Source organism: Homo sapiens, chromosome 13 (assembly GCF_000001405.40).
Source record: "Homo sapiens chromosome 13, GRCh38.p14 Primary Assembly".
NCBI lineage: Eukaryota > Metazoa > Chordata > Mammalia > Primates > Hominidae > Homo > Homo sapiens.
In genome coordinates, this window is record NC_000013.11 from 47,285,141 (window position 1) to 47,297,651 (window position 12,511).

Here is a 12,511-nt window from a genome sequence, read left to right on the forward strand (position 1 = left end):
CTGAAAAATATCACTTCGAATTAAAAAAATCAGATTTCAGAGAGAGAGATACACAGTTGAACATTTATGTAATATTTTTGATACTCTAAAAATCACTATGTTTCTTGTTAGATATCCATATGAATGTAAAACTACATAACAATGAACTTGGAAAGATGCACACCAGAGTTACCATAGCAGATACTTTTCTGTGAAGAAAGGTGTGGGAAAGAAAGTGCACTTTAATTCATTTTATTCATTTACAGCATTAAGGAACATACATTAAGTTACTAAAAATTGTACATGTAGGGATGTTAATTACGTGTGTCTCTGATATACTATGCTTGATACTTTTCTATATTTTTTGTTTCTCAAATACACCACACAAACAAAACCGTCCAAACGAAAATGAGCATTTCTACTAGTAAAAACACAACAGTTATAATTGTTGAAGAAAACTTACAACAGGCAATTAAAATTGGGTTATTTTGGGGCCTCATGCTTAAGGAATAGAGTTCTAAAGTAAAATTAGCTTCGTCAATTTCCCATTCCTATTTGTTTCACAATTCAAGACCCCTCAAACCCAGCATGTATCTACTGAAAAGGGTTATATGATTATAAAAAGGATTCCCTTTTATCTTAAAGTATTTAATATTTACCTTTCTTGTGGTTGAGAACATTGACCTATATAGTTTTGGCATTTATCAGATATATTAATACCAAAGAAAGGGAGAGAACCCAACCCAAGCTAGTAACTCTGGTACAAAGGAGTCATGAGATCCCAGATATTTCAAGATATTTTTTGGTGCTCATAGAGGCTTTATGCTAAAAGTTTCCAAAAGTCCCCAGGAAGAAGATATAATGACTAGATTAAATGCTTACAAGGGCTGAATAAATTATGAGAGAGGCTTACATATGTTAAAAAAAATTCCATTTTATGTCTCAGTAGAAAAATATGAGGATCAATAAAATTAAACAGTCACTAAATGATTTACTTGTGCATGGGATTGTTTCATGTCCAAAAGTGAACAGCAAATCCAAATGACGTCTAACCTTCCACCCAGGTTTTCAGTTTGGGAAAGACCTTGCTTCAACCTGCCCACCTCAACTGCCCTGACCTGAAAGCACAAATAGATCATGTTGGTACAGACACCATCCATCAAAAAGCCAGTTGGGCTCTATGGGAAATTACCCTGGTTTTATCCAGAAGAGAGTGTATGTGTATACATACTTACATACATACATGTGTGTGTATATGTGTGTGTGTGTATATATATATATGTATGTGTGTGTTTGTGTGTGTGTGTGTGTGTGTCATAGAGACAAAGTATTGAAGAGGAAGAAATTGTCACATTTCTGATTACTGCCAACTATAAAGCCTAATTCAACTGTGGCTTGCCTGGAATTATGATTCTTGGATAATTACAAGTAGCCGTTTGTAAGATTAGAGGAAAAAGACATTTCCAACCATGAGACATGGATTTATATGCAGTTTGCTTGTTTGCACAAGCAGAAAGAACTGGTAGTTCCTTGGTTCTAACTCATGATAACATTGATCAGGGGAAAGTATGTACAGCTTCCTTTTATCTAAATCTTTCTGTCTTCCAAGCACACTGGCGTGCTCCTCAAACACTGCAAAACCAGGGATTTCCAGATTGCCCATATGAGTTTGAAGTGGTTCTCAAACACAAGGGCTCTGAATTTGTTTCCAAAACCACTGAATAAAGGAAGGGTAAAATGTGGTCAGATCAAGTCCTCAAATTCACCATTGCAGAGTCACTATCACAATCACGTCTAGCTTTAACTTCCTTAGTTTGTAATGGTGAGAAAATTACCCAAACAAACTTTCCCTATTCCCAACTCTTACCAGACTAATAAAAAGTCAGAACTGTGAATCACCCTTTGCCATCGCTGATAACCTGGCAGCCTTGTGTATTTGTGTGCATATGTGTGTGTATGAGTGAATACGTGCATATGTACATGTATGTGTGCACATGTTTGTGTATGCCAGTATGCATAGGTTTGCACATGTGTCTACAGGTAGATATGTTTGTGTGTATGTGTGTATGTTTAAAGGGAAAGAGTTGCTAATGTGGAAGAGTACAGTTGCAAGTATCTTCTTTTCTACTTTTCTGACATTGTGAGCTGAAGGCTCACACCAGGGGGCTTCTTGATAGATGATGGTTGTGGCTATCTTCTCATCACCACAAAGGCCTGCTGGCAGAACACCTTTTACCACACTATGCTTGCTGAGGTGCTCTTGATTAGGGGAAATTGGTTTGTGTGCTGGCAAACATAAAGGAGCCATGACTCAGGAAGCTAAATGCCAGAGAAATTGGAATCAGTGTTTGTGTAATGCTTTACAGTTCACCAGTGTCTTTCTATGTACATTAATCTATTTGCTCTGCAAAACAACTCTGTGCCTACTTGTAGGAATAATTATAATACTCCTTTTATGTAAGATGAAACCGAGGTCTACAGAGAAGTTCCCCATAGTGAGTTAGAGGCAGAGTGAAAGAACAAACTTTAGGTCAAATAACATTCCAGCCCAGTGTGACATTCAAATAATATGCAAACCCCCCAGGATGCCAGAGGGACCACAGGATTGAAGTGATTCAATATCAACAGCCAGCATCCTTCAAGTAGATCTTATATTGTGTGCATTTATGGATGGGTGAAGAGCTTATCACATAGTTCATTTAGAGATTTAGTTTTAAAATAAAAATACAATAAAAATGTGTTTGGTGTTGGAAACCCAATACTCTCTCCAATTGTAGAAGGTGGGGTCTGGACCTTCAAAATAGGCAGGGTTTAAGAAGTACTTGGCCATGCAAGTTGACCCAAGTAGCAGAGCACAGGACAAATCTGGCTTTGGGACTTCAGGGATAGTAATGCATCACAGAGGATAGGAATGGGCATATGCTATAGTGGCAAACAACCTCAACATCCCAGTGGCTCCCCAAAACAGAGCTTCATTTCTCATTCATGCTACATCTCCACCATGTTGGCTGTGGCACTGTTCCAGGTAATCCTTCCTGTAACCCAAGCTGCTGGGCAGCTAGGATCTGAAACATTATGGGTCTCATGGAGGAGAACTGAAGATGAGATTAGTCTGCTCTTACAGCTTCTTCCTAGAAACGACATATGGCACTTTTCTCACAGGTCCCTTGCCCAGGGGAAGGCACACAGTGATGCCTACCATCAGAGGCAGGAAATAAACCTCCCGCAGGAAACAGCAGAGAATATTTATGAAAATTAATGTAAAGATTTGCTATAGAATTATGTTTTTTCCACACTTTCCTTCTCTTGTCTTATCACTTACATTTACTTATATAGCAGTGTTTTTAAAGACCTTAAGAAGAGATGGAAAATCAAGGGATGAAGAGAGTCCATTCATTTGCCCATGAGTAAGCCTTTCTTATTGCAGAACCATCTGCCAAGCAATAGTCTTCCTAGTGTGGTGTCCTCCAAAGGAGTAGACACCCCTCAAATCTGAGGCTGAAAGGAGGCCTCATCACATGTTTTATTTGAGGACTCAGACTAGAGACTAATGTTCCTGCCTGTGTGACAACCAAGACTTTTCAGACAGACAGAAACTAGCATTCATGGGATGCCTGTGGCCACTATGCTTCACTTGTTTTACGTTTATTTCATTTACTTCTCACACCAGCCAATGGGGGTAGCGCATATTATCCTGTTGATATAGACAAGCCAGACATTTTATGCAACGTATTCAAGGCCACAAGGCAGTGAGTGCTACAGCTATCATTTGAACTTAACGTTACCGAAAGCAAAAGCCATGCTTTCTACATTACCCCACATTTTAACTTAAAATAATAATAGAAAATCTTTTCCCTACAAATAATGGTGTCAGAAAGGAGACCCTGCATCTTCTTTGAGTGACATTTCTACCTACGGGCCAAAAAGTATTCTTATCTCTGATCTAAAATAAAGTTCTTTTCTATTGCTCTCAGCTTAGCAAAAATGAAGCACATTTTCTCATTACCTTCGATACAATCCTCTGAGGATGCACTTAAAATTCTCTAAAAAGATAAGAGGGTGCAGCACACCAACACAGCGCATGTATACATATGTAACAAACCTGCACATTGTGCACATGTACCATAAAACTTAAAGTACAATAATAATAAAATAAAAAAAAAGAAAAGAACGTATTTAGGGGCACCGTACTTAAAGCTAAAGGAAATGTAAATGATACGTTATGACACACGTATAGACCTTACTATAAATGTGGCAACTTGTAGACCTTACTATAAATGTGGCAAAGAGATGTCTAAAAGCTTCCCCCTGCTCCGTGCCTCCCTCAGTCAAGGAAAATATATTATTTTCTTCTAACCCTCTAAGCAGAATACTTCATTACATGGGCTTCCTAGCATTAGCCATTGCCAGGGGGCCAAATACAGTAAATGGATCAATGGCCTGATGCTATTAAGCAGCTCCTACAAAGAAAAGAAATAGCCCACAGAGTCTCCTTGGCAATCAGACATCAATACTAGACACCCTCCAGGAAGGGCTCCTGAGCAGAGTGCCTACACACAGTCCTGATCAATAAAGCACTAAACAAGAATGAGTGGATCCACTCAGCAAACAATGAACAGGCCTGAGTCATCCATACCATGTCAAAGGAACCAAAGTATGGAATGCTTTCTAAATGGAAGTTTTAATCAGCTTCAGCTAATCTTGCCACACCCTCACGCATGATTGACTGCTAGGCTGTGCTTCAGAGTCAGTGCTGGACTCAAACTAGGCAGTATGCAGTACCTACTTTGACAGCACTGAATAGTAGTAGTAGTAATAAAAATGGCAATAACAATAGTAATAATTAATAATCATCATTTCTAAGTGTTGTATATGTATTAACTTGTTTAATTCTCACAACAACCCTATGGCATAGATATTATTATTATCTCTACTTTAAAGAAATAAATAGAGGCACAGAGATGTTAAGTAACTTGCCCAAGATTACATAGCTGGTCATAATAGAGCCAGAAGTTGGGTCTAAAGTATGCCTTTACAAACACCCTTCTATATTGTCTCTGAAAAGGAGGTTGAGGTGCCCTTCCTGGGAGAAAGGAGGAAGCTTAGGCCAGTGGTTCTCTATCACTTGGCTACAGAATTTGGGTAGAAGTAGAAGTGTGGGGGCAAGTTCATGCAGAGATCTGCCAACAGTATATACGTCAATCACCTTTTTTAGACAGATTAAAAAACCTCACACATCTATAACTTGTATTTTACACTATATGTAGATGCTGTTGTGATTTCTAAAATGGAAATTTATTGCATTCAACTCATATTTTTGTCTGCAAACCTCTTGAAAGCAAAGACTGTTTATTCAGCCTCATGCACTTAATACATGCATGTGAAATATAAATTTTGGAGGATGAATATGTCATTTTAAAAATGAAAGAGGTAACTAAAAATAAAATTCCAATGTTCAGAAGAATTAATATTTAGTTTAAAAAGAGGTTCTAATAAGTCAAAAAAATTGTAGAACACCAACTAAGACATCTAACTTTTGTTTGAGCTAAATCTTTCTCAATCAAATGCATCTAAATCAGATGACATTTGGTGTGTCTACTGATGCTGTGGTCCTACTATTGCATGTGAAGTATAAGAGGAACAGCTCTTCATATGTTTGCAAGGCATAAATAGCCTTTTCTCTTCGTATAAAAGCCACAGAGCTCACGGTAAAATGTTAGATACCCAATGAACATAAGAACATATTAATTGCTGACCTTGGCTTTCCTGCTCCGTATAGCGCTGATATCAGCCTCTGTTAGAGCTCCCTTACTTGAAAAATGGAGATGCTATTTGGGTTTGAGTATAAATTTAAGTCATTTTTTTATGAGACAAGTTACACAATGAACTGTGAATGGGGTACATGCACCTTTGAACTGTGAATGGGGTACATGCACCTTTGGAATGAAATATGACTTTCAAGATCTATTTAATCAACTAAACTCAGTTCCCAATATGTCAGCTTGGAACAGACCCTAATGCAGACTCCTCAGCCTAAAATTTACACAGATTTTCTTCCACCTGCCTTGTTTTGTCTATTTTCTTCCTAAGTACAGTTATCACAGGTGGGAATGACATCAGTACAAACTTGACATCCTCCTATTAAGTCAGCAAAGTGCTTAGGGAAAAACCACATACAACAGTATCAGTAAATAGATCAAAGAGGAAATATTTCAAGAATCTCCTTGTCAAGCAGTAAGTCATTACTTGAGTCGGAATTAGTTAAAACACTACAGTGCCTCCTTCTAATATACATTTGGTCACCTTCAGCTCAGGGTGCAAGTGCTCTGACACTCAGCTCAGAGGCAAGCAGACATGCTGGAGCCTGTGAATTAACACTGAACTGGGAACTGTCATTGGGAAAATGACAGCCAGCCTTCAGCAAGGAACTTGAACACTAATCCTTGTGTTAGAGTTCCTACCGTTTTCAGGCAAAACAGAGGAAATACAAGTCAGCAACTTTATTCCCTAGCTTTTTTTTTTTCCCCCTAATTTAAAAATAGAACACTGGCTGGGTATGGTGGCTCACACCTGTAATCCCAGCATTTTGGGAGGCCAAAGCAGGCAGATCACGAGGTCAGGAGTTTGAGACCAGCCTGACCAACATGGTAAAATCCTGTCTGTACTAAAAATACAAAAATTAGCCAGGTGTGGTAGTGTGCACCTGTAATCCCAGTTACTCAGGAGGCTGAGGGAGGAGAATCGCTTGAACTTGGGAGGCAGAGGTTGCAGTGAGCCGAGATCATGCAAGCCTGGGGGACAGAGCAAGACTCCATCTCAAAAAAAAAAAAGACCACCACACTCCAAGAAATGTTAAGATGTGTAATATGTACTTACCACTAATAATATTTAGCAGTTTGGGGGGTAAGATTTTTCCCTGAAGAAAATACTTATAAACACAATTTAAATTATGGGTATCGAGTCTGCAGGGCAGATTTTTTCTTTCATTTTTAATGCTATGCTCATTTTAAAAAGCCTAGATGAAGTCACGATGAAAATTCAGTCACTCACTCTGTTTTGAAATTGGGGTTATTCCTTATCCTTTTACAAGAGAAGAGTATTTAATTTCAAAATTTCATTTTAAATTAAGAGAACGTCGTTGTGGTAAGAAGTTACCTGCAATACATATATAAGAAACAAGTCAACTTAGTTAGTATTAAATAACATTTTGTTATTACGAAAGTAAAGCAATTGTCAAAAGGAGCTTAACTCATCCACCACCTCTAAGGATAGCAGTAACGTGCTCTTAAGGCAGAGAAACTCCTGCCAAAAAGTCATATTGATGCTTCCAAAGATATAAGTAACAATACTGTCCTCTAAAAAGTTTCTTCTGGCTCTTTCTAAGATAATTCCCACTAACAGATTCCAAATTGCTTCTCCCAGTATCTTGAAATGCCAGCTACACTGTAGGAACACTACAGGGTACTTGGAGGACATTAATGTGTAAAATGAGGGCACAAATTGATAAAGAGTGTATAATTCAGATATTTTTAAGTAGCTATTTCCTAAAATTTATTTTATTTTATTTTAGGAAATAGTTACTTTACCTTGAAAGATTTAAGATATATCAAGACCTGTTTGGACAAGTTTGGTCACTTGGTCCCTTCCTTGGTAAATGCAGTAACTGTGGAGCAAAGGAAAGGAGACAGAAGGAAGGAGGGAGAGGGAGAATGAGAGGGAGAGGGAGCAGGAGAGGGAGAGATTGAGATTGAGTTTAACCTCCTTCAGGGTAACTAGAACTAACACATAAAACTTTAGATCCGTGAACAGAAGCCACTTTATGCCACTGAGACTGGGAAACAGACAGGAGGATTCATGCATGAGGATTGAAGCAGATATGTAGTAAGGAGCAGGGCTGAGAATGGGTTTAGAGAATTTCCTTGTTTTCCACAGTACTCCAGGCAGCAATTCCCGTCTGGAAGCCTAGTTGGGATGCCATATGTACTTCCAAAAGTTTCATTTTCCACTTAAGTTAGTTTGGCTTTATTTTACTTTCAACAAGAGATGTTAGGCAATGCAATCATCACCATCACAACTGGAAGAGAGAGACACCAGGAAAGTATCTTGCCTCTAAATACCCAATGGCCAGAACAGATTCTCATCTCTCTCCTATTGTCCACTACTGGTTGGTCACCCTTGGTATTGTAAAGAAAAACAGCTTTCTTCTTATTTTCATCATTATTAGCATTTCCCCACTATCTTAAGTAATCTCTGTTCATATAATTCTTTCTTAAACTTTTATTTTAGGTTCAGGAGTACAGGTTAAGGTTTATTAATAGGTAAATTGTGTGTCACTGGGATCTGGTGTACAGATTATTTTGCCACCCAGGTAATAAGCATAGTATTTGATAGGTAATTTTTTGATCCTCACCCTCTTCCACCCTCAAGTAGGTCCTGGGGTCTGTTGTTCCATTCTTTGTGTCTATGTGTACTCAGTGTTTAGCTCCCACTTAATAAGAGAATGTGTGATATTTGTTTTTCTGTTCTTATGCCAATTTGCTTAGGATAATGACCTCCAGCTCCATCTATGTTGCTGCAAAGGACATGATCTCATTCTTGCTATGGCTGCATAGTATTCCATAGTGTATATGTACCACATTTTCTTTATCCAGTCTACTGCTTATGGCATTTATGTTTATTCTATGTCTTTGCTATTGTGAAGAGTGCTGTGATGAACATATGCATGCATGCATCTTTACAGTAGAACAATTCCTATCCCTTTGGGTATATACCCAATAATGGGATTGCTGGGTCAATTGGTAATTCCACTTTAAGTTCTTTGAAAAATCACCAAACTGCCTTCCACAATGGCTGGAATAATTTATATTCCCACCAGCAATGTATAAGTGTACCTTTTTCTTTGCAATCTTGCCAGTATCTGTTATTTTTCTGTTTTAATACTAGCCATTCTGACTGGTGTGAGACAGTATCTCATTGTGGTTTGATTTGCATTTCTCTAATGATTTGTGATGTTAAGTATTGTTTCATATGCTTTTTGCCCACATGTATGTATGTCTTCTTTTGTAAAGTGTCTGTTCGTGTCCTTTGCCCACTTTTTAGCGGGGTTGTTTTTTGCGTGTTGATTTAAGTTTTTATGGATTCTGGATATTAGACCTTTGTCAGATGCATAGTTTGCAAATGTTTTCTCCCATTCTGTAGGTTGTCTGTTTACTCTATTGATAGTTTCTTTTGCTGTACAGAAACTCTTTTGTTTAACCAGATACCATTTGTCAATTATTTTTGTTGCAATTGCTTTTGGAGCCTTTGTCATGAAATCTTTGCCAGGTCCTAGGTCTAGAATGGTATTTTCTAGGTTATTTTTCAGTGTTTTCAAAGTTTTATCCTTTACATTTAAGTCTAATCCATCTTGAGTTGATTTTTGTACATGATGTAAAGAAGGGGTCCAGTTTCAATCCTCTGCATATGGCTAGCCAGTCATCCTAGCACCATTGACTGAAGAGAAAGCTCTTTCCCCATTGCTTGTTTTAGTCAACTTAGTTGAAGATCACATGGTGTAGGTGTGCAGCATTATTTCTGGGCTCGCTGTTCCATAGGTCTGTAAGTCTGTTTTTGTACATGCTGTTTTGGTTACCATAGCCTTGTAGTCCAGTTTGAAGTTAGGTAACCTGATGCCTACAGCTTTGTTCTTTTTGCTCGGAATTCTCTTGGCTATTTGAAATTTTTTTTTGCATCAATGTTCATCAGATATACTGGCCTAAAGTTTTCTTTTTTTGTTGAGTGTCTGCCAGGTTTTGGTATCAGGATGATGCTGACTTCATAAAATGAGTTAGGGAGGATTTCCTCCTTTCCAATTGTTTGGAATAGTTTCAGAAGGAATGTTACCAGCTCCTCTTTGTACTTCTCATAGAATTCAGCTGTGAATCCGTCTTCTCCTGGGCTTTCTTTGGTTGGTAGGCTATTAATTACTGCCTCAATTTCAGAACTTGTTATTAGTCTATTCAGGGATTAGACCTCTTCCTCATTTAGTCTTGGGAGGGTGTATATATCCAGAAATTTATCTTCTTCTAAATTTTCTAGTTTATTTGTGTAGAGGTGTTTATAGTATTCTCTAATAGTAGTTTGTATTTCTGTGGCATCAGCGGTGATATTCCCTTTCTCATTTTTATTGTGTCTATTTGATCCTTCTTTATTAGTCTAGCTAGTGGTCTATTTTGTTTAATTTTTTCAAAACACCAGCTCCTGGACTCATCAATTTTTGGAGGGTTTTTCGTGTCTCTGAAAATCCTCAATAAAGTACTGGCAAACTGAATCCAGCAGTAGATCAAAAACTTATCCACCACGATAAAGTCAGCCTTATTCCTGGGAGGCAAGGCTGGTTAAACATACCCAAATCAATACACTTAATCTATCACATAAACAGAACCAAAGACAAAAACCACATGATTATCACAATAGATGTAGAAAAGGCCTTCGATAAAATTCAACATCGCTTCATGTTAAAAAAAACTCTCAATAAACTAGGTATTGATGGAACATATCTCAAAATAATAAGAACTATTTTTGAGAAACCCACAGCCAATATCATATTGAATAGTCAAAAGCTGGAGGCATTCCCTTTGAAAACTGGCACAAGAAAAAGATGCCCTCTCTCACTATTCCTATTCAACATAGTGTTGGAAGTTCTGATCGGAGAAATCAAGCAAGAGAAAGAAAGAAAGGATATTAAAATAGGAAGAGAGGAAGTCAAACTGTCTCTGTTTGCAGACAACATGATTCTATATTTAGAAAACCCCGTCATCTCAGCCCCCAAACTCCTTAAACTGTAAGCAACTTCAGCAAGGTCTCAGGGTACACAGTCAATGTGCAAAAAGCACAAGCATTCCTTTACACCAACAATAGACAAGTAGAGTGACAAATTATGAATGAACTCCCATTCACAATTGCTACAAAGAGAATAAAATACTTAGAAATACAGCTAACAAGGGATGTGAAGGACCTCTTCAAGGAGGACTACAAACCACTGCTCAAGGAAATAAGAGAGGATACAAACAAATGGAAAAACATTTCATCCTCATGGATAGCAGGAATCAATATTGTGAAAATGGCCACAATGCCCAAAGTAATTTATAGATTCAATGCTATTCCCATCAAACTACCACTGACATTCTTCACAGAATTAGAAAAACATACTTTAAATTGCATATGGAATCAAAGAAGACAAGCCAAGAGAATACTGAGCAAAAATAAAGCTGGAGGCATGACCCTACCTGACTTCAAACTATCCTGCAAGGCTACAGTGACCAAAACAGCATGGTACTGGTGTGAAAATAGACATATAGCTCAATGGAACAGAACAGAGAATTCAGAAATAACACCACATGTCTACAACCAACTGATCTTTGAAAAACCTGACAAAAAACAAGCAATGGGGAAAGGATCTCCTATGCAAGTAAAAGGTGCTGGGAAAACTGGCTAGCCATATGCAGAAATCTGAAGCTGGACCCTTTCCTTACACCTTATACAAAAATTAACTTGAGATGGATTAAAGGCTTAAATGTAAAACCCAAAACCATAAAAACACTAGAAGAAAACCTAGGCAGTACTATTCAGGACATAGGCATAGGCAAAGACTTCTTCATGAAAATGCCAAAAACAATTGCAACAAAAGTCAAAATTGACAAATGGGATCTAATTAAACTAAAGAGCTTCTGCACAGCAAAAGAAACTATCATCAGAGTGAACAAGCAACCTACAGAATGGGAGAAAATTTTTGCAATCTGTCCATCTGACAAACGTCTAATATCCAGAATTTACAAGGAACTTAAAAAAGTTTACAAGAAGAAAGCAAACAACCCCATCAAAAAGTGGGCAAAGGATATGAACAGACACTTCTCAAAATAAGACATTTACTTGGCCAACAAACATATGAAAAAAGCTTGACATCAATGATCATTAGAGAAATGCAAATCAAAACCACAATGAGATGCCATCTCATGCCAGTCAGAATGGCGATTATTAAAAAGTCAAGAAACAATAGATGCTGGTGAGGCTGTGGAGAAATAGTAACGTTTTTACACTTTTGGTGGGAGTGTAAATTAGTTCAACCATTGTGGAAGACAGTATGGCAATTCCTCAATGATCTAGAACCAGAAATACCATTTGACCCATCAGTCCCATTATTGGGTATATACCCAAAGGAATATAAATCATTCTACTATAAAGACACATGTACACATATGTTTACTGCAGCACTATTCACAACAGCAAAGTCATGGAACCAACCCAAATGCCCATCAATGATAGACTGGATAAAGAAAAGTGGTACATAGACAGCATGGAATACCATGCAGGCATAAAAAGGAATGATACCATGTTCTTTGCAGGGACATGGATGAAGCTGGAAACCATCATCCTCAGCAAACTAACACAGGAACAGAAAACCAAACACCACATGTTCTCACTCATAAGTGGGAGTTGAACAATGAGAACACACAGACATAGAGAGGTGAACAACACACACCAGGGCCAGTTT